General features: G+C 39.9%; 1 protein-coding gene across 63 annotated transcripts in view; it reads left to right on the top strand.

Annotated features, from left to right (window-relative positions):
• The window catches only part of EIF4G3 (eukaryotic translation initiation factor 4 gamma 3), a 370606-nt gene that overhangs the window by 75861 nt on the left and 271088 nt on the right, over positions 1-23657 (top strand). For 60 of the 63 annotated variants that reach the window (XM_047433321.1, XM_047433366.1, XM_047433324.1 and 57 more), the window contains one exon: positions 11824-11899. The exons of the other annotated variants lie outside the window; for them this stretch is intronic. Coding sequence is in view for 1 of the 60 variants with exons in the window: in XM_047433231.1 (XP_047289187.1) it covers positions 11824-11899 (76 nt within the window). In the remaining 59 variants the exon portion in view is untranslated. The remainder of the gene's footprint in view (positions 1-11823; positions 11900-23657) is intronic. 63 annotated transcript variants of the gene reach the window in all.

Raw genomic sequence — 23657 nt, 5'->3', positions numbered from 1 at the left:
TAGTATAAGCGTGCTTTGACTTGGGTTTATTGGCTGTGGAGAAGGATCTTTTCTTGATACTAGTGAAGAGAGAAGTTTGTCAGGAGTAGTGTCAAAAAGCAGGTTGGGTGGTTTCCATCTTGTGAAGTCATTAAGCAAGATTTGAGGAGTGTGGATGATCCTATATTGCTTTTTTCCTGTCATTGAAAAAGAACGTAGTTTGCCGCCCAAGCCCAGCTGTTTTCCTGTGTGGTGCCTGTTTTACTGTTACTGTTGCATAACAATTCTCTTTGTTTGTGTAGATTCGCAGGATAAGCCATACTACTTCTTTTTTTTTGTAAGAGATGGGATCTGCCTGGAGAGCAGCCTGGCATAATCATAGTGCATTTCAGCCTTGAACTTCATGGGCTCAAGGGATCCTTCTGCCTCAGACTCCTGAGTAGTTGGGACTATAGGCACGTGAAACTGTGCTTGGCAAGCCATACTTTTTTTAAGTCTATTGAACCGGATCATGATGATGAAACATTTTGAGTTTATGACTTCTTTCTGCAATATTCTGGATCCTGGGGTGAGAGTGGTAGAACAGATAAGATGCTTGTCTCACCATGGAGTTCTAATATTATTTTTAAATTACATGCAATAATATTTACTTTTTTTGGTAACAGCATTATTGAGATATAATTCACACACCATAAAATTCAGCCAATTAAAATGTACAAATGTACAGTTAACTGTATTAAATTATACTTAATATCCAGAGTTGTGCATCCATCACCACAGTTTTAGAATGTTTGGTTTATCTCAAAAAGAAACCCAGGATCCTTTAGCAGTCACCCTCCTTCCTCCCACCTCTCCCTTCAGCTTAGGCAACCACTAATCTACTTTCTGCCTCTATGGATTTACCTATTCTGGACATTTCATATAAGCAGAATCACATGATATACAGTCTTTGGTGATTGGCTTCTTTAACTTACCATAATGTTTTCAAGGTTTATCCGTAATGTACATGTATCACCACTTTCTTTTTATTGCCAAATAAAATTCCATTGTATTGATATGCCACAATTTGTCCATCTAACAGTTGATGGACATTTATCTCCACTTTTTTGCTATTATATATAATGCTGATGTGAACATTTGTGTACAAGTTTTACATGGACATGCTTTTTATTTTTCTGTTGAATACGTGCCTAGGAGTGAAATTACTGAACCATATGGTGACTCTATTGCTTAACCTTTTGAGGAACTGACTATTCATTTATTTTGGATATATAGTTTCTAAGTTCTGAAAAATGAATGGTTTTTGTAACCTACTGTGTAGAAGACACAGAAAACTTCCATTTACCCTGTTATATTCCTTCAATGATGTCCCTTTGTGGATAAACTCTGCCCCCAACCTCTAGGCCCTGGCAAGCACTGATCTGCTTTCCATTTCTACATTTTTGTCTTAACTAGTATATTATATAAATGGACTTACAGTCTTTTTGAGTCTAGCACTCCCTCAGGGACAGGGTCTCACTCTGTTGCCCAGGCAGGAGTGCAGTGAGTCTAGCTTCTTTTACTTAAAATAATTAGCATTTGAGATTCATTCATGTCTTTGTGTTTATTAATAGTTAATTCCTTTTAAATGCCTACTAGTATTCCATTATATGGATGTACCATAGTTTGTCTATTGGCCAGTTGAAGATATTTGACTCATTTCTAGTGTTTTTGGCCATTATGAATGAAACTGCTGCAAGCATTTGTGTTCAGGGTTTTGTGTAAATTTAAGTTGTCATTTATGTTGGGTAATACCTATGAGTGGGACTGCTGAGTCATATGGTTAGTGTATGTTTAATTTTATAAGAAACTGCCAAACTGCTTTCCAAAGTGACTATACCATTTTGCACTCTACCAACGTGTGAGATTTCCAGTTGCTCCTCATCCTTATCAGCACTCATTATTGTCATTTTTTTATGGTTTCAGTTAGTGTAACAGGTATAGTGATATCTCGTTTTGGTTTTAATTTGCATTCATTAATGATGTTTCATTAAGGAAGTAAAGAGCCTTTTGTGTCTTTATTTGTGACGTGTATATTTTCTTTGATTAGGTGTCATTCATTTAAAACTTTTCCCCATTTGAGGCTAGGCACAGTGGGTCGTGCCTATAATCCCAGCACTTTGGAAGGCTAAGGCAGGAGCATTGCTTGAACTCAGGAGTTTGGGACCAGCCTGGGCAACATAGCGAGACTTCATCTTTACAAAAAATGAAAAAATTAGCTGGGCATGGTGGCACATACCAGTTACAGGTTGAGCTGGGAAGGTTGCTTAAGCCTGGGAGATCAAGGCTGCAGTGAGCCATGATCCTGCAACTGCACTCCAGTGTGGGGCAACAGAGCAAGACCCTGTCTCTCAAAACAGCAACCACAGCAAACTTTTGCCCATTTGAAAAATATTAGGTTGTTTGTTGTCTTGTTATTGAGTGTTTAGTTTCTTTCTTCTTCTTCTTCTTCTTCTTTTTTTTTTTTTTTTTTTTTTTCGAGACAGGGCCTCGCTCTGGTTGCCCAGGCTGGAGTACTGTGGCGTGATCTCTGCTCACTGCAGTCTCCACCTCCTGAGCTCAGGTGATTCTCCCACCTCAACCTCCCAAGTTGTTGGGATTACAGGCTCTAACATGCCTGCCTAATTTTTTGTGTTTTTAGTAGAGATGCAGTTTCACCATCTTGCCCAGGCTAGTCCTGAACTCCTGGACTCAAGCAGTTCACCCACCTCAGCCTCCTAAAGTGTTGGGATTATGGGCATGACCCATTGGGCCCAGCCTAGTTTCTTCATGTATCCTAGATACAAATCCTTTATCTTATTTACGTAAGTTTTAAAAGTATTTACCACAGTCTGTATCCTGTCTCTTTGTTCTTATAACAATGTCTTTCACAGTGGAAATGTTTGTAGTTTTGATGATGTTCAGTTTATCAATTTTCTTCTTTTTAAAAAATATTTTGTAGAGACAAGGCCTTGCTTGCTATGTTGCCCAAGCTGGTCTCAAATTCCTGGACTCAAGTGATCCTCCCACCTCGTCCTCCCAAAGTGCTTTGATTACAGGCATGAGCCACTGTGCCTGGTCATATCAATTTTTTTTTTTAAATACATCATGCTTTTGATGTGTTATCTAGGAACTCTTGGCCTAATCCAAGATAACAGTTGTTTCCTCTTATTGTTTCTTCTAAAAGATTCATAGTTTTCTGTTTTACACTAGATCCACACATTTTGAATTAATTTTTGTACAAAGGGTGAGGTGTTGGTAGAGAGTGTCATTGGTTTGCATATGGTTTTTCAGTTGTTTCAGCACCATTTGTTGAAAAGACTATTTCTCCACTTAATTGCCTTTGCACCTTTGTGAAAAATCGATTCACTACATTTGTGTGGGCCTTCTTACAGGTTGAATATTCTGTTCATTGATTTGTTTTTATGTCCTTTTGCCAGTACCACACTATTTTGGTTTTCAAGTGTTAATTTTAAGGTTGGAATGTTTTGTCTAATGCCCCCTTCCTTTTGGTTTTTCAAAGTTAAAAACTTCATTTTTCCTATCATAAAAAACAGACATTTTATTTTACCTGAGGTGACATATAGCAATACCTCAAATTCATGAGTTACTCCTTTCTTCCTATCTGGATTGTGAACAACAGTTTGAGATACTGAGGTAGAGGATATGTCAAGTTGAAGATGCTGTGGATGACTGCGTGTCCTTTTTCCTAGGGATACCTACTGAAAGTGGTTGCATTGTGTACAAGTCTGATCATTAGCTGCATCATCTTAGCACACAGCACCTTTTTTCGATGAAAAGAGTCTCACTCCTTTTACTCCAGAAAGGAAATACAAAATTGGAAAGATCGTGTATCCTTGATAGAATCTGCACACTATTTGTACAGAATAGTAAAGCCAAACTTAGAAGAATCTCCTCTGACTATTCCATAGTCATGGTTCTTTTATCTATTTATTTTAAAAGTTTATTTTTTGTGGTAAAGTATACATAACACAATATTTACCATTTTAATCATTTTTCGGTGTACAGTTCTGTGGCATTAAGTAAATTCACATCATGCAGTCATAACCACCATTCATGTTCAAGATTAATCATGATTATTTTTTAACCTAAGTTCCATCACTGAAACTTCTAGCACATTAAAGTTACATTCACTTTTTGAAATTACATTTTAACAATGCTCTAGCATTTCAGGTCAATCAAGGCCTTAACATTTTTGTAAATCTTATAGTTATACCCATAAAAACTTTCAGCCAGTAGTATAACTTCCAGCAAACTTTGACTTTCGTCATATGTGAGTAGCATTCAGTTAGTCTTTAAAAGATAGCTTTTTAAAGTCTGCCAAATGTATGTAGCTCACCTATTATTATCCCCATCTATGTCCAGAGGAATTTGGCATATCAGCATGTTTTATTTTGGTTATTATCAAGGCCATTTGAGTGGTTCAGATGTAGGACCCAACTGGAATTGTTAACTTCAACTTGTTTTTGTTACTGATATTTCTTCACAGTGGGCAATTAAATTTATGGGGGACAAGTGTAATTTTGTTCAATGGATATACTGCTGTAGTGGTGAAGTCAGGGTTTTCAATGTGTCCATCACTTGAAAAACATATGTTGTACCCATTAAGTAATTTCTCATCATCCCCCTACTCCTTGTGAGTCTTTGTTTTCTGACATTCCACACTCTACCTCCATGTGTATACATTATTTAAATCTCAACAGTAAGTGAGAACATGTGATATTTGTCTTTCTGAGTTGTTTCACATAAGATCATGGCTTCCAGTTCCATCTATGTTGCTGCAAAAGAATGACCTCATTTTTTTATGGTTGAATAGTATTCCATTGTGTATATATACTACATCTTCTTTATGCAGTCATCTTCTGATGGACACTTAGGTTGATTCCATATTTTTGCTATTGTGCAAGGTGGGCATTTTTGAGGAGAGAGGCTTACTTTGTTGCCTTCTGCCTTTGCTTTGCCATATGGATTGATTGTATTTGAATCTGAATTGGGCATTAGAAAACACTGTTAAAGCATATTAGTCTGTTGTAGAACTAAAAATGTGAGGGCATTAGAAACTTCATTTGAAACTTTTGTGAGTGTATCATTCATTTTTGCATATGAATATCATTTTGTCTCACAGAAAATGTGTATGTGTATTTTTATCTTGTGTAGAAATAACAGCGTAGTCAGCAGCCATTGTTGCATAGTCTCTGGCAATATTGTTTTGTTTTTTTTTTGTTTGTATGTTTCTAAACTTACAGGATATGTTTCTGGGTAAACTTAAAAATGACTAGCAGGAAATCAATTGGCAATATGTGCTGACTTGTATCTGAGTTAATAGAAAATCAGAGCCAGAACAAGGGGTTTTCTGGCTAAGCTCTTTGAGACTAATGTTTCTGGATTTGTTAAAAATCTAATATAGGTCAGGTGTAGTGGCTCATGCCTGTAATCCCGGCACTTTGGGAGGCTGAGGCAAGAGGATTGCTTGAGCCCAGGAGTTTGAGACTAGCCTGGGCAATATAGGGAGACACCATCTCTACCAAAAAATTTAAAGATTAGCTGGGCACGATGGTACACACCTGTAGTCCCAGCTACTCTGGTGAGTGAGGTGAGATCACTTGAGCCCAGAAGGTTGAGGCTGCAGTCAGCTGTGAACCCAACACTGTACTCCAAAACAAAACAAAATCTAATATAATGGTTTCTAGTTGTGTACGTTCCAGAGATACTAATTGCAAAGATTCAATGATAAAGAATAGTATAGTCTTGCAATTCTAAAATTCCAAGAGCTTGGAAAACTTATTCTTTTTCTTGCATTGGTAAATTTCTGGACAGAAGGGTAGAAGTTTGAATATTCATATATTTTGCTGTAGAGATATTAATGTGTTTGATTAAGGGTGCTGCCTAGATTCTGCTAGGCGTGTTAAGTAATATACATAACCACTGTATTTGCTTTCCAATAGGGTTTTTGGACCTGAATTAACAGCCAGCATTAAATTGAGTTGAAACAGAGTTTAAAATTGGTTAGTTTTATTTCCCTAGATCTCAATGGTAAAAGGTAAGGAGAGCAAAGGAAGAATTGCCCAGGTGAATATTTGGGCTCGAGGGATCCTGTCATCACAGCTTTCTTAGTGGCTGGAACTACAGGTATGCACCACTGTGCCAGGCTCTTTTTTAAAATAGGTTATTTTTTCTTTTGTAGGGGCTATTTACAAAAAGAAATCCTGGCTTTTATTATTATTATTATTATTATTATTATTATTATTATTATACTTTAAGTTCTAGGGTACATGTGCACAACGTGCAGGTTTGTTACATATGTATACATGTGCCATGTTGGTGTGCTGCACCCATTAACTCGTCGTTTACATTAGGTATATCTCCTAATGCTGTCCCTCCCCCCTCCCCCCACCTCACGACAGGCCCCGGTGTGTGATGTTCCCTTTCCTGTGTCGAAGTGTTCTCATTGTTCAGTTCCCACCTATGAGTGAGAACATGTGGTGTTTGGTTTTCTGTCTTTGCGATAGTTTCCTGAGAATGATGGTTTCCGTCTTCATCCATGTCCCTACAAAGGACATGAACTCATCCTTTTTTATGGCTGCATAGTATTCCATGGTGTATATTATGTGCCACATATTCTTAATCCAGTCTATCATTGATGGGCATTTGGGTTGGTTCCAAGTCTTTGCTGTTGTGAATTGTGCCGCAATAAACGTATGTGTGCATGTGTCTTTATAGCAGCATGATTTATAATCCTTTGGGTATATGCCCAGTAATGGAGTGGCTGGGTCAAATGGTATTTCTAGTTCTAGATCCTTGAGGAATCGCCACACTGTCTTCCACAATGGTTGAACTAGTTTACAGTCCCACCAACAGTGTAAAAGTGTTCCTAAGGAAATCCTGGCTTTTTTTAAAAAAAAAAAAAAATTTTTTTTATTATACTTTAAGTTTTAGGGTACATGTGCACAACGTGCAGGTTTGTTACATGTGTACATGCGCCATGTTGGTGTGCTGCACCCATTAACTCGTCATTTACATTAGGTATGTCTCCTAATGCTATCCCTCCCTCCTTCCCCCACCCCATGACAGGCCCTGGTGTGTGATGTTCCCCTTCCTGTGTCCAAGTGTTCTCACTGTTCAATTCCCACCTATGAGTGAGAACATGTGGTGTTTGGTTTTTTGTCCTTGTGATAGTTTGCTGAGAATGATGGTTTCCAGCTTCATCCATGTCCCTACAAAGGACATGAACTCATCCTTTTTTATGGCTGCATAGTATTCCATGGTGTATATTATGTGCCACATTTTCTTAATCCAGTCTGTCATTGATGGACATTTGGATTGGTTTGAAGTCTTTCCTGTTGTGAATTGTGCCACAGTAAACATACATGTGCATGTGTCTTTATAGCAGCATGATTTATAATCCTTTGGGTATATACCCAGTAATGGGATGCCTGGGTCAAATGGTATTTGTAGTTCTAGATCCTTGAGGAATCACCACACTGTCTTCCACAATGTTTGAACTAGTTTACCGTCCCACCAACAGTGTAAAAGTGTTCCTATTTCTCCACATCCTCTCCAGCACCTGTTATTTCCTGACTTTTTAATGATCGCCATTCTAACTGGTGTGAGATAATATCTCATTGTGGTTTTGATTTGCATTTCTCTGATGGCCAGTGATGATGAGCATTTTTTCATGTGTCTGTTGGCTGCAAAAATGTCTTCTTTTGAGAAGTGTCTGTTCATATCCTTTGCCCACTTTGTGATGGGGTTGTTTGTTTTTTTCTTGTAAATTTGTTTGAGTTCTTTGTAGATTCTGGATATTAGCCCTTTGTCAGATGAGTAGATTGCAAAATTTTTCTTCCATTCTGTAGGTTGCCTGTTCACTCTGATGGTAGTTTCTTTTGCTGTACAGAAGCTCTTTAGTTTAATTAGATCCCATTTGTCAATTTTGTCTTTTGTTGCCATTGCTTTTGGTGTTTTAGACGTGAAGTCCTTGCCCATGCCTGTGTCCTGAATGGTATTGCCTAGGTTTTCTTCTAGGGTTTTTATGGTTTTAGATCTAACATTTAAGTCTTTAATCCATCTTGAATTAATTTTTGTGTAAGGTGTAAGGAAGGGATCCAGTTTCAGCTTTCTACATATGGCTAGCCAGTTTTCCCAGCACCGTTTATTAAATAGGGAATCTTTTCCCCATTTCTTGTTTTTGTCAGGTTTGTCAAAGATCAGATGGTTGTAGATGTGTGGTATTATTTCTGAGGGCTCTGTTCTGTTCTGTTGGTCTATATCTCTGTTTTGGTACCAGTACCATGCTGTTTTGGTTACTATAGCCTTGTAGTATAGTTTGAAGTCAGGTAGTGTGATGCCTCCAGCTTTGTTCTTCTGGCTTAGGATTGTATTGGCAGTGCGGGCCCTTTTTTGGTTCCAGATGAACTTTAAAGTAGTTTTTTCCAATTCTGTGAAGAAAGTTATTGGTAGCCTGATGGGGATGGCAATGAATCTATAAATTACCTTGGGCAGTATGGCCATTTTCATGATATTGATTTTATGAGGCCAGCATCATCCTGATACCAAAGCCTGACAACAACAAAAAAAGAGAATTTTAGACCAATATCCCTGATGAATATTGATCCTCAATAAAATACTGGCAAACCGAATCCAGCAGCACATCAAAAAGCTTATCCACAGTGACCAAGTGGGCTTCGTCACTGGGATGCAAGGCTGGATCAACATACACAAATCAATAAATGTAATCCAGCATGTAAACAGAACCAAAGACAAAAACACATGATTATCTCAATAGATGCAGAAAAGGCCTTTGACAAAATTCAACAGCCCTTCATGCTAAAAACTCTCAATAAATTAGGTATTGATGGGACGTATCTCAAAATAATAAGAGCTATTTATGACAAACCCACAGCCAATATCATACTGAATGGGCAAAAACTGGAAGCATTCCCTTTGAAAACTGGCGCAAGACAGGGATGCCCCTCTCTCACCACTCCTATTCAACATAGTGTTGGAAGTTGGCCAGGGCAATCAGGCAGGAGAAAGAAATAAAGGGTATTCAATTAGGAAAAGAGGAAGTCAAATTGTCCCTGTTTGCAGATGACGTGATTGTATATTTAGAAAACCCCATCGTCTCAGCCCAAAATCTCCTTAAACTAATAAGCAACTTCAGCAAAGTCTCAGGATACAAAATCAATGTGCAAAAATCACAAGCATTCTTATATACCAATGACAGACAAACAGAGAGCCAAATCATGAGTAAACTCCCATTCACTATTGCTTCAAAGGGAATAAAATACCTAGGAATCCAACTTACAAGGGATATGAAGGACCTCTTCAAGGAGAACTACAAACTACTGCTCAACGAAATAAAAGAGGACACAAACAAATGGAAGAACATTCCATGCTCATAGATAGGAAGAATCAATATCGTGGAAAAAAAATTTTTTTTTAATAGAGGCAGGGTCTCTTGTGGTCTAGGCTGGAGCTGGCTTGTTTAAATTGCATTTTTTTAATTTTTGAAAAACATATTCGTGTGGTTCAGAAGTAATGTTAAAAGACTGTAGCTATGGTCAGGTGCGGTGGCTTATGCCTGTAATCCTAGCACTTTGGGAGGCCGAGGTGGGTGGATTGCCTGAGCTCAGGAGTTCGAGACCAGCCTGGGCAACATTGCAAAGCCCCATCTCTACTAAAAATACAAAAAATTAGCCGGCTGTGGTAGCGCATGTCTATAGTCCCAGCTGCTTGGGAGGCTGAGTCACAGGAGGCTGAGTCACGAGAATTGCTTGAACCTGGAAGGCAGAGGTTGCAGTGAGCTGAGATTATGCCACTGAACTCCAGCCTGGGTGACAGAGCGAGACTCTGTCTCAAAAAATAAAAAATTAAAAAAAGAAGACTATAGCTGTTTCCAAAGTAACTGTATTTTAAACAGTACATGTTTTGAGAAATCCTGTTCGGTATCTTTGTGAAATAGGGTATAGTTTAGAAATTCTGCCATTACTTTATGTATTATAGAAGTTAACTTCCTTTTTTATTTCAGAACTATGTAGAAATAAGAAGTAGAGAAAGCATAAATTGACATTGACATCTTGGCCTAAATAAGAAATAATATAGAAAAAGACCCTTTGCATTATTTTTTTATCTCCTGATATTAGTTGCCTATTTTACCTATAAATCAGTATTTATTTGATGACATTTGTATCCTTGATCTTCCTTTCAATGAGGAAATGATAACTTGAGTCTTTCACTTTAAGAATATTGCTTATGCTGAACATTAGAGCAGTAGTTTTTCTTGTAGTGGAGTGGGGCAAGGTTTAGGAACGTTCAGCTGGGAATTATAAATGGAACATTAGTGTTTTGGCAGACTGAAAGACAATTTCTGTTTATTTTCACTTCTTCTTTTCTACTTTGTGCAAATCCACCTTTTAAGGAGGTACTGACTGTAAACAACCCCAGTGCCAGACATGATTACCATTGATCAAGAAGGTTTATTTTGAAGAGAGTTCATCCTTCATGAAGTTTCATAAACATTTGTTCTTTAAAATGTATTGGTCCTCTCTTTTCTGCATAAGTAGGAAACATTCATATCAGTAATACATGTCATGTAATATCCTCATGGATTCTTGGATTTCTCTGATGAAATTTAGTCTTTGCAAGTGTATTTGCCTAGTTGGCATTTGTTGTAGCATGTATGTAGTGAGTACTTTAATAATCAGAGTCTTTAACCATCAAATTATATTTATTTCTGAAATTTGTCTTTTGTTATTATTCTACTAGAAAAAAGAAAGAGGAGAATTCGAAATTTTTTACATTTATATTTCTACTTAGAGTCTTAATTCAGTATTGCATACCATCTATGTAATCTTACTAATAGTTTTGCTTGTACTTCCTAATGATATAAATCACAGCAATTTGAAATACAGAAATATCAAGTGGATGTACTACTGTATTTCAATCATGGGTTATGAAAAATCAGCATGTTCTGGATTATTGTATGTGCATGTTACACTGCTCATTTATTGAATTAGAATTTTAAGTAGCACTATGAAAAGCTGTTTTGCCTGTATCTTGAGCTCAGAGGGAAAGAAACATCCAATGATTTATGCTTGGAGATACAGAGTTTGGTGAGAACTGGTAATAAGCACAATGGCAGGCAGAATTAGGAAGGAAGTATGTTGTAGTGTACAGAGTTTTACATGGGTCATTTCTTTGAATTCAAATTCTGTAGAAAATTTCTGGCAGTTCCTGTCTCATGCTGATTTATTTAGGCTTTTTTTTTTTTTTGGTAGAGAGGTTTGCTAATTGCAACTTGTTAAACTCCTGTGCTCAAGTGATCCTACCACCTCAGCCTCCCGGAGACTACAGGTGCTGGCAACCACACTCGGCTAATTTAGTAGAGATGAGGTCTTGCTGTGTTGCCCAGGCTTGTCTTGAACTCTTGGGGTTTAAGTGATTCTCTCAGTTTGACCTCCAAAAGTGTTGGGATTATAGGCTTGAGCCACTGTGCCCAGCCAGTTATTTTTAGTACAAAGTAAAGGTGGCAGAGTCTCATCATGGGTCTAAAGTTTGGACACTTATTGTATAGTTGTGTTTGTTTTGAGATTCCATGGAATGTTTATCATGGGAAGGCTTTTGAAGAGATTGATTTAGTCATTTTAGGACATTTGAAACATTTGGTTTTTAGTTTTAGTGGAGAAGTATATAACTCACTAATTGGGTGAAAATGCTTAGGTCGTTGGTGGAATTTTGTGGTTGCAATTTTCTCTAACTATTAAGCATCCATTTTTGAATTCTCTTATCCTTAACTCGCTCTTCTAGAATTCCTAGAGGACCTGTGCAACAACCTCTTGAGGATCGAATCTTCACTCCCGCTGTCTCAGCAGTCTACAGCACGGTGAGTGTCTGAAGGTTGTCAAATTGTGTGTGTGCTTTTGTGTGTGAATCCTTGGTATTAATTATAGGCAGTGTTTGTTTGATTGACACATGACAAATTTTTGGCAAAAAGTTCAATAAAATTCTGAATAGAATGATAGGCCCTTTCCATATCATCTTAATCTAAGAAATGGAGTGAAACAAATACTGTGTTAAGATAGAGAGACCTGTCTTATTTTTCCTTTCTGTAAATATTCACCTCTGGCCTTATTATTATTATTATTTTTATTATTTTGAGACAGAGTTTCACTGTGTCACCCAGGCTGGAGTGCAGTGGTGTGATCTTGGCTCATTGCAACCTCCGCCTCCTGGGTTCAAGCAATTCTCCCTCCTCAGCCTCCTGAGTAGCTGGGACTACAGGCACGTGCCACCACACCTGGCTAATTCTTGCATTTTTAGTACAGATGGGGTTTCACCGTGGTGGCCAGGCTGGTCTCAAACTCCTGACTGCGGGTGATCCACCTGCCTTGGCCTCCCAACGTGCTGGGATTATAGGCAGCTTTGTATTCTTTTTGGACTCTTGAGTTTTATTTTCTTTCTGGATTTTTTTTCTTAAAAATTTTATCAGTTTTACATTTTCTAAACTTTAAATTTTTTAAGTTTTACTTTTTATTCTCCTTGATTACATATTTTCAAAATGCTGAAAGTTTAGAAGAGTGAACACTTTTTTTTTAAATTTTGAGATGGAGTTTTGCTCTTGTTGCCAGGCTGGAATGTAACGGTGTGATCTCAGCTCACTGCAACCTCTGCCTTCCCAGTTCAAGTGATTCTACTGCCTCAGCCTCCCAAGTAGCTGGGATTATAGGCGTGTGCCACCATGCCCTGCTAATTTTGTTCTTTTAGTAGAGACAGAGTTTCACCATGTTGGTTGGTCTCGAACTCCTGACCTCAAGTGATCCACCACCTCAGCCCCTCAAAGTGCTGGGATTACAGGCCTGAGCCACTGTGCCTGGCCATGAACACTGTTTTTAACAGAAGGAAATTTAATTTTTTTTCATTTTTAAGAGATCGGGTCTCACTCTGTCACCCAGGCAGGAGTGCAGTGGCATGATTATGGATTACTGCAGCCTTGAACTCCTGGCCTCAAGTTATCCTCCTGCCTCAGCCTCCCAAGTAACTGGGACTACAGTCACATGCTACTGTGCATGCTAATTAAAAAATTTTTTTGGCTGGGCACGGTGGCTCATGCCTGTAATCCCAGCACTTTGGGAGGCCGAGGCAGGTGGATCACGAGGTCAGGAGATCGAGACCATCCTGGCTAACACAGTGAAACCCCGTCTCTACTAAAAATAGAAAAAATTAGCCGGACATGGTGGCGGGCGCCTGTAGTCCCAGCTACTCAGGAGGCTGAGGCAGGAGAATGGCGTGAACCCAGGAGGCGGAGCTTGCAGTGAGCTGAGATCGTGCCACTGCACTCCAGCCTGGGCGACAGAGCGAGACTCCGTCTCAAAAAAAAAAAAATTTTTTTTGGTAGAGGCAAGGTTTTATGATGTTGCTCAGGTTGGTCAGACTCCCGAGCTCAAGCAGTCCTCCTGCCTCCACCTCCCAAAGTGCTGGGATTATAGACATGAGCCATTATGCCCAGCCCATTTAATTTTTTATATTAGATGATTCAAATTCATAAATGAAGGGAAAATAATTATTTTGAGGATTCTTACTTGGTTGAGCAGGCTGGTTTCAAATTCCTGGGCTCAAGTGATCCACCCACCTTGGCCTACGAAAGTGCTGGGATTACAGGCGTGAGCCACCATGCCCAGCCATATGAAAGAAAATTTAAAAGTTAGAGGATGAAGCTAATAATATTAGAAGTAAATTTTAGGTGTTTTACAGTGAACCTAAGGTAATTTAGGGGAATTAGGGAGTGAAACCTATCTTTTAAATATTTCGGTTCAACATACCATTTATTCCTGTGGATATAGATAGGATACCTTAAAAGGACTCATAGTCTACTGAGGGAGATAAGAAAATAAATAATTCTAATATAAAGTGATATGATAGAGAAGTGATTCCTATTATTTTGGGTTGTGAATCACTTTTAGAATCTGAAAATAGTTGTAATGCTCTCTCTTTCAAGAGTTACATATACATAGTGTTTACATATAATTTCAGAGTTTCCCAGATGTCCATCAGGCCATTTCTTTTTTTCTTTTTTTTTTTTTTTGAGAAGGAATCTCACTCTGTTGCCCAGGCTGGAGTGCCGTGGCTCGATCTTGGCTCACTACAACCTCTGCCTCCTGGTTCAAGTGATTCTCCTGCCTCAGCCTCCTGAGTAGCTGGGATTACAGGTGCACATCACCACACCTGGCTAATTTTTGTATTTTTAGTAAAGATGGGGTTTCACCATATTGGCCAGGCTGGTCTCGAACTCCTGACCTCAAGTGATCCGCCCACCTTGACCTTCCAATATGCTGGGATTACAGGTGTGAGACACTGCGCCCCACCTCATCAGGCCATTTCTAAGCTCCAGATTAAGAACCTTTGATTAGAGACAGGAACGTGTTAATTGCATGCGAAAGGAAGAGGTGACTTCATTGAGAAAGTGACACTTAAAGCAGAAGATGCAAGACTTCTGTAGGTAGAGAAGAGAAGGCAAAGCCTTCTAGGAAGTGAAGATCCAGAGGCGTGGTTAATGGAATGGCCAGTAGACAGTTCACTATGACATAATATGAAGTGAAATAAAGAGTATGTAGGTTGGTTGGGGGGGTTTTAAGCTGATCTTTGTATATTTGCAAATTAACCAGGCATGGTGGCATGTGCCTGTAGTCCCATGTACTTTGGAGGCTGAGGCAAGAGGATCACTTGAGGCCAGGAGTTAAAGGCTGCAGTAAGCTTTGATCAAACCTCTATGCTCCAACCTGGGTGACAGAGTGAGACCCTCAAAAAAAAAAAAAAAAAAAAAAGAGTATCATGTAGGTAATGGATATTTTTCTTGGTCTGTCTGAAGGCTCAGTAACACCTATTGTAGATCAATTAATTATTTCTGCAGCCCCATTCACTCTTAGAATTGACCCAGTTTCTGTTATAAATTATCTGGTCACCCTAATCATTAGGAACCTTCAGTTCATTGAAAAATAACATTTTGAATAACACTTTGAAAAATAACCTTTGGGCCAGGCGCGATGGCTTACTCCTGTAATCCCAGCACTTTGGGAGACCAAGGCAGACGGATCACGAGGTCAGGAGATTGAGACCATCCTGGCCAACATGGTGAAACCCCATCTCTACTAAAAATACAAAAATTAGCCGGGTGTGGTGGCGTGAACCTGTAGTCCCAGCTATTCGGGAGACTGAGGCAGGAGAATTGCTTAAATCCAGGAGGCAGAGGTTGCAGTGAGCCAAGATCGCGCCACTCCAGCCTGGCGCCAGAGTGAGACTGTCTCAAAAGAAAAGAAAAATAACCTTTGGCTGATTGTGCTGTCTCCTACCTGTAATCTCAGCACTTGGGGAGGCCAAGGCGGGAAGATTGCTTGAACCCAGTAGTTTGATACCAGCCTGTGCAACATAATGAGACCCCATCTCAACAAAAAATAAACTAGCCAGGCATGGTGGTGCGAGCCTGTAATTTTAGGTAGTTGGGAGACCGAGGCAGGAGAATCACTTGAGCCCAGGAGGTCGAGGCTGCAGTGTGATACATGATTGCGCCTCTGAATTCCAGCCTGGACAGTAGAGCAAAATCCTGTGTCTTAAGAAAAAAGAAAACTTAAAATATTTTTTTCTGGCACAACCTTTCTCTAGGTCTTAGTTTTTTATAGTTTTTTCAAAAAGTACTATGCAAAAGAACAGCATCATTGTCAGAATCCCTCTTAAAATACGATAATGTTTTCTAATTACCTAAGTATACTTTCACCATTTAATTATTATTTTTAAATTAAGATAAGTAAAAATGAAAACTTCTAGTAATCCTGAGTGATTTATGGAGGCAAATACTATAACCATTTTTGGAGTGTAGCTTGTCTTTCTTGTCTTTTTTTTAGACCCTATGCTTTATTCTGTCCCTTTATCTCGTATCAGCTTTTTGTATGCCATTCCTTAGATAACATTTCTTAAATAATAAATGGTTATATATTGTTTATTATAAAAGAATTTAATCACTCAGCATTGAATACTTAAGCTTAAGCTTTTACTGTGTGTCATGCAGTGGTCTAGGTGTTCAGGATATGGTAATGGAGCAACACAGACCCTCAGCCCTCATGGATATTACATCTTTATGGGATAAGAAGACAGCAAACAAATATATATACAGTATACTATTGGGTTTTAGTAAGTAACTTGATGAGAATAAAGCAGGATAAAGGGATAGAGAATGACTGGCCATTCTACCTTAACTAATTCTCTCAGGGAAAGTCTCTCTGAAAAGGTGGCAATTAAGCTGAAACTGAAGATTTCTAGGAAAAAAAAAACATTTGTGGTAGAAGGAACATCAGTGCAGAGGCCCAGAGATAGGAGTGAGCTCAATGTAGTCTTAGAAATGGAAGAAAGCCAGTGTGGCTGGAATGGAGGGAGGTTGGATTTGAGACATCAGATTATGTGGACTGGTATGGTTTGGCTTTGTGTCCTTACTTAAATCTCATGTCGAATTGTAATCCCCAACAAGTCAGGGGAGGGACCTGGTGGGAGGTGATTGGATCATGGGGGCAGATTTTCCCCATGCTGTTCTTGTGATAGTGAATGATTTTTCATGAGATCTGATGGTTCAAAGGTGTGGCACTTCTCCCCTTGCTCTCTCTCTCTCTCCTGCCATCATGTAAGACGTGCCTTGCTTCCTCTTCGTTTTCTACCATTATTGTAAGTTTCTTGGGGCTTCCCCAGCCACGTGGAACTGTGAGTCAGTTAAACCTCTTTTTTTTCTTTCTTTTTTTTTTTTTTTTAAATTACACAGTCTCAGGTAGTTCTATAGCAGTGTGAGAATGGACTAATACATGGACATTACAGACCATAGTAAAGATTTTGGATTTTAATCTAGATATAATAGAAAGCCAGTGGAGGATTAAGAGGAGTAGGTGTGAATTTACTTTTAAAAGGTCACTGTGGCTGCTGTATGGAGAATAGACTGTGTGATGTGGACATGTGGTGGTGATTGAAATGGGAGTAAGGAGAAGTAAAGTCAGTAGAATATGTTGATGTCTTGGATGTGGGATGTGAGAGAAAAGAGTAAAGGTGGTGTCGTAGATCTTGGTTTGGGCAACTGAGTGGTCCTATTTGTGGAGATGAATACTGAATGAGGAACGAGTATTTTGTTGAAAAAACCTGAGTTATAAAACCTCATAAATGAGGACATGTAATTCTGTAATTTTATTACTTTGGAGAATAGATCATCCAAATCCTGTGAGCAACAGCACACTGCCTGTCATGCAGTTTACAGGAAATATTTGAATCTAAGCTTTTGAATGTATTTTTTTAGTTTGATCTAATTTGATTTTTACTATTTAAAACTACTGTCATATTTGTAGTCCTTTGATCAGTTTTAAAAAATCGAGACCAGGCATGGTGGCTCAAACGTGTAATCCCAGCACTTTGGGAGGCTGAGGTGGGTGGATCACTTGAGCTCAGGAGTTTGAAACCAGTCTGGGCAACATGGTGAAACCCTGTCTCTATTAGAAAAAAAAAAAAAAGTGTGTGTGTGGCTGGGTGTGGTGGCTGACGCCTGTAATCCTAGCACTTTGGCATGCCAAGGAGGGAGGACTGCTCGAGCCCAGGAACTTGAGACCAGCCTGGGCGACAGAGTGAAACCGTTGTCTCCAAAAAAAAAATGTGTTTGTGTATATATTATGTTTTATGCCTATTCTGGAAGAAAGGTTTTTAGGCAGCTAAAAGTTACCTTAAAGTGTGATAGTCTCCACTTTTTATTTATTTATTTATTTAACAGAGTCTCACTCTGTCGTCTAGGTCAGAGAGTAGTGGCATAATTACAGCTCATCGAAGCCTTGAACTCCTGAGTTCAAGTGAACCTCCTACATCAGCTTCCTAAATAGCTGAGTAACTAGGATTACAGGCACAAGCCACCGTGCCCAGCTAATTTTTTAAACTTTTTTTTTTTTTTTTTTTTTTTTTTTTTTTTTTTTGAGACAGAGTCTCGCTGTGTCTCCCAGGTTGGAGTGCAGTGGCGAGATCTCGGCTCACTGCAAGCTCCCCCTCCCAGGTTCATGCCATTCTCCTGCCTCAGCCTCCCAAGTAGCTGGGACTACAGGCGCCCGCCAACACGCCCGGCTAATTTTTTGTATTTTTAGTAGAAACGGGGTTTCACCGTGTTAGCCAAGATGGTCTCGATCTCCTGACCTCGTGATCCGCCCGTCTCGGCCTCCCAAAGTGCTAGGATTACAGGCGTGAGCCACCGCGCCCGGCCAATTTTTTAAACTTTTTAACAGAGACAGAGCCTTGCTATGTTGCCCAGGCTGGTCTCAAACTCCTGGCTTCAATTGATCCTCTCACCTCAGCCACTCAAAGTGCTGGGATTATGGTGTGAGCTGCTGCATCCTGCCGGTTTCCCCTTTTTTGTTGTTTTTTTGTTTGTTTTGAGGTGGAACCTTGCTCTGTCACCCAGGCTGAAGTGCAGTGATGCATTCTTGGCTCACTGCAACCTCCATCTCCTGGGTTCAAGTGATTCTTCTGCCTTAGCCTCCTGAGTAGCTGGTATTACAGGCACGTGCCACCACACCTGACTGATTTTTGTATTTTTTAGTAGAGAAGGAGTTTCGCCATGTTGGCCTTGCTGGTCTTGAACTCCTGATGTCAAGTGATCCACACGCCTTGGCCTCCGAATATGCTGGGATTATGTCATGAAGTAAAAGTTAACCCTCAGTTCACCTCCTACTGCCTTAGCATATGGTGTCCATATGTCACTTTCATTGAGTTGGTTAAATTCCTTGAAAGGCTCCTGGCCAGTCTCAAAATTACACAAAGATTATGCTTTTTTGTATCTGGTATGCAGGCTTTTTACACTAATGTCCGTCATTTTACATAATAGGGATTTGCTGATAATCAAAGAAGCATTAAAAGTCAGACTTGGCCAGGCACGGTGGCTCACACTTGTCATCCTGGTACTTTGGGAGGCCAAGGTGGTGGGAAGATTGCTTGAGCTCAGGAGTTTGAGACCAGCCTGGGCAACATGGTGAGACCGTGTCTCTGTATTTTTAAAAAATTAAGAAAAAAAAGTTGGGGCTGTGCGTGGTTGGCTCACTCCTGTGATCCCAGCACTTTGAGAGGCTGAGGCGGTTAGATCACTTGAGGTCAGGAGTTCGAGACCAGCTTGGCCAACATGGCGAAACACCGCCTCTACTAAAAATACAAAAAATTAGCTGGGTATGGTGGCGTGAGCCAGTAATCCCAGCTACTTGGGAGGCTGAGACATGAGAATTGCTTGAACCCGGGAGTCAGGGGTTGCAGTGAACCGAGATGCACCACTGCACTCCAGCTTGGGCAATAGAGCAAGGCTCTGTTTCAAAAAAAAAAAAAAAAAAAAAAAATTGGACTCATCTTCTGGAATGTGTTCATGTTACATTTAGTCTAGTTATTTTGTATTTGTTTATTTTAACCTGGTTTTTGTAAGTTTGCCCTGGGAACATTTATCAGATATGAGAGAGAAGCTTATGTCATTATTCCTTATTAGCCATAATTGAGTGATTGATCATATGAACAAAAAAAGAATCAAGCACATATATATATATTTTGAGATGGAGTCTCACTCTGTCGCCCAGGCTGGAGTGCAGTGGTGCGATCTTGGCTCACTGCAACCTCCGCCTCCCAGGTTCAAGTGATTCTCCTGCCTCAGCTTCCCGAGTAGCTGGGACTACAGGTGTGCACCATCCATGCCCAGCTAATTTTTTGTATTTTTAGTAGAGACGGGGTTTCACCATGTTGGCCATGATGGTCTTGATCTCTTGACCTCGTGATCCACCCGCCTCGGCCTCCCAAAGTGCTGGGATTACAGGCGTGAGCCACCACGCCCAGCCCAAGTACATATTTTTAAAAGGTCTAGTGAGAGCTGCATATGTTAAATGGGGGAGGGAAAATGTCAAAACTAAAGAAACATAGGTTAATTTGAAATATTAATTGATAACTTTCTTATATTGGCCTGCCTCTGCAGTATAAACTGTGGAATTTTACTATGTTCTATAATTTTGTCGTATATATTTTACTTAGAGAAATTAGATTTTATGACTATCAGGCTAGTATTTTTAATATAATTGCAGAGATGAACTTAATAATAGAATAATGACATTACTAAAAGAAGGAGAAATTTATATTCTGTGAGGTTGGAAGGGTTATCTTAGTAACTGCTTATGAAAAATTCACAGCTGGGCCCGGTGGCTTATGCCTGTAATCCCAGCACTTTGGGAGGCTGAGGTGGGCAGATCACGAAGTCAGGAGTTTGAGATCAGCCTGACCAACATGGTGAAACCCTATCTCTACTAAAAATACAAAAATTAGCCGGGCATGGTGGCGCACACCTGTAATCCCAGCTACTCAGGAGGCTGAGGCAGGAGAATTGCTTGAACCCCGGAGGCAGAGGTTGCGGTGAGCTGAGATGGCGCCATTGCACTCGAGCCTGGGCAACAGAGTGAGACCCTGTCCCCTCCAAAAAAAATAAAGGAAGAAAGAAATTCCTATAAATTATTTAAATTACTTCTTAATAAATAGCTCTTTTTTTTTTCTTTTTTTTGAGACGGGGTCCTCCGCTCTTGCACAGGCTGGAGTACAGTGGCATGATTTTAGCTGACTACAGATAATTCCTCTTCAATGCCATAAAATTTATTTTCTTCTTTCTCTCTCTCTTTTTTTTTTGTTGAGACAGTGTCTCTCTCTGTTGCCCATGGTGGAGTGCAGTCGCACGATCATGTCTCACTGCAGCCTTAAACTCCTGGGCTCAGGCTATCCCTCCTCCCTTAGCTTTCCAAGTAGCTAGGACTACAGGCATGCATCACCATGCCTGGCTAATTTTTTTTTTTTTTTTAGTTGGAGTCTTACTCTGTCACCGAGGCTGGACTGCAGTGGCACCGTGTTGGCTCACTGCAACCTTTGTTTCCTGGGTTCAAGGAATTCTCTTGCCTCGGCCTCCCGAGTAGCTGGGATTACAGGCACCCACCACCACGCCTGGCTAGTTTTTATATTTTTGGTAGTGACGGGGTTCACCATGTTGGCCAGGCTGGTCTCGAACTCCTGACCTCAGGTGATCCACCTGCCTCGGCCTCCCAAAGTGCTGGGATTACAGGAGTGAGCCACCGCACCCGGGCCATGCCTGGCTAATTTTTAAAATTTTTGTAGAGATGAGATCTTGTTGTGTTGCCCAGGCTGGTCTCTAATGTCAGGGCTCAAGCAATTCTCCCGCCTCAGCCTTCCAAAGTGCTGGGATTACAGGCATGAGCCACCATGCCCAGCTATGCCATAAAATTTCATGAGTTTTTTTTTTTTTTTCTTTTGCGACAGGGTCTTACTGTGTCATCCAGGCTGGAGTGTAGTAGCTCAGTCATGGCTCGCTGCAGCCTCAACCTTTTAGGCTCAAGAGATACTCTTGCCTTAGCCTCCCAAGTAGCCAGGACTACAGATGTACATCATGACTCCTGGCTAATTAAAAAGCATTTTTTTTTTTTTTTTTTCTGTAGAGACAAGGTCTCATTATGTTGCCCAGGCTGGTCTTGAACTCCTGAACTCAAGCAATTTTCCTGCTTGAGCCTCCTAAAGTGTTGGGATTATAGGTGTGAGCCACTGCTCCTGGCCTCATGATACATTTAGCCATTTTATATTTTATAAAATCTTGATTCTTTTACCCTAAAGCTTTGTTTAATCTAATTAGAGAACCATGCTTTTATTTCTTTTGCCAGGCCACTGTTGAGTATTTGCCAGGTCACTATTGAGTAGGCTAGGATTTCAGTGGAGATACCTCGCCAGAGACAAAAGTTTAGCTTGGGTTGATCAATATTCTTTAGGCAATGGTGTCCAGCCAGATGTAAATCTGTTTGATTGTCCTATCATCTAGCACAGATGGCAAATATATCATTTAAACTAAAGATTTATTTATACTTTTTTTAGAAGAATCATTTATCTTTACATCTCTGCTTTTAAAAATTGATACTTAATAATTATTTGTGGGATACATGTGCTATTTTATTTATTTATTTGAGATGGAGTCTCACTGCGTTGCCCAGGTTGGAGTGCAATGGCATGATCTCAGCTTACTGCAGCCTCCGCCTCCTGGGTTCAAGCGATTCTCCTGCCTCAGCCTCCATAGTAGCTGGGACTACCGGTGCACGCCACTATACCCGGCGAATTTTTGTATTTTTAGTAGAGACGGGGTTTCACCATATCGGCCAGGCTGGTCTCGAACTCCTGACCTCAAGTGATCCACCTGCTTTGGCCTCCCAAAGTGTTGGGATTACAGGCATGAGCCACCATGCCCAGCCACGTGTGTTATTTTGATGCATGCAAGTAATGTGTGGTGGTCAAATCTGGGTAATTAGGATATTTATCACCTCAAATATTTATCTTTTGTGTTAGAAACATTTGAAATCTTCTAGCTATTTTGAAATATACAACAAATGAATGTTAACTATAGTTGCCCTACTCTGCTAACGCTAGAACTTATTCCTTTTATTTAACTGTATGTTTGTACTCATTAACCAACCAGTCTTCATATGTCTCACCACCCTTCCATGCTTCCCAGCCTCTGGTAACCATCATTCTACTCTGTACCTACATGAGATGAATTTTTTTTTAACTCCCACATAGGAGTAAAGACATGATATTTTTCTTTCTTTGCTTGGCTTATTTCATGTAACATCATGACCTCCTCTTCCATTTCTGTTGTTGCAAATGGACGTGGTTGAGTGATATTTCATTGTGTATATATGACACATTTATATTATCCATTATTCTGTTGATGGATACTTACATTGATCCACATCTTGGCTATTGTGAATAGCGCTACAGTAAACACGGGTGGCAGCTATCTCTGCACTGAATTCATTAATAAATAAATGAATGCTATAAATTCTAAATGCTGTAGAATTCACTTATAATTTTAATGCACTGATTTCCTTTCTTTTGGATATGTACCCAGCAGTGAGATTGCTGGATCATATGGTAGATCTATTGTAGTTTTTTCACGAACCTTTATACTGTTCTCCTTAGTGGCCTTACTAACTTATGTTCCCAGCAGCAGTGCGAGCATTCTCCTTTCTCTGCTTTCTCGGCAGTGTCTTTTTGTTGTTTTTTTTTTTTTTTTGAGACGGAGTTTTTGCTATTGTTGCCCTGGCTGGAGTGCAATGATGTGATCTTGGCTCACCACAACCTCCGCCTCCTGGGTTCAAGCGATTCTCCTGCCACAGCCTCCTGAGTATCTGGGATTACAGGCATGCGCCACCACGCCTGGCTAATTTTGTATTTTTCGTAGAGATGGGGTTTCTCCATGTTGGTCAGCCTGGTCTCGAATTCCCAACCTCAGGTGATCTGCCCACCTTGGCCTCCCAAAGTGCTGGGATTACAGGAGTGAGCCACCACGCCCGGCCCGTTTTTTTTTTTTTGTATTTTTAATAATAGCCACTTTAACTGGAGGGAGATGAAATCTCATTGTGGTTTTCGTTTGTGTTTCCCTGATGATCAGTGATATTGAGCACTTTTCATATACTTGTCAGCCATTTGTATATCTTCTTTTGAGAAATGTCTGTTTAGATCATTTGTCCTTTTTTTTTCTTTTTTTTTTTTTCTAGACAGGGCCTTGCTCTGTT

The sequence above is a fragment of the Homo sapiens genome, chromosome 1 (genome assembly GCF_000001405.40).
Source record: "Homo sapiens chromosome 1, GRCh38.p14 Primary Assembly".
NCBI lineage: Eukaryota > Metazoa > Chordata > Mammalia > Primates > Hominidae > Homo > Homo sapiens.
This window is presented reverse-complemented; position numbering and strand designations above follow the sequence as displayed.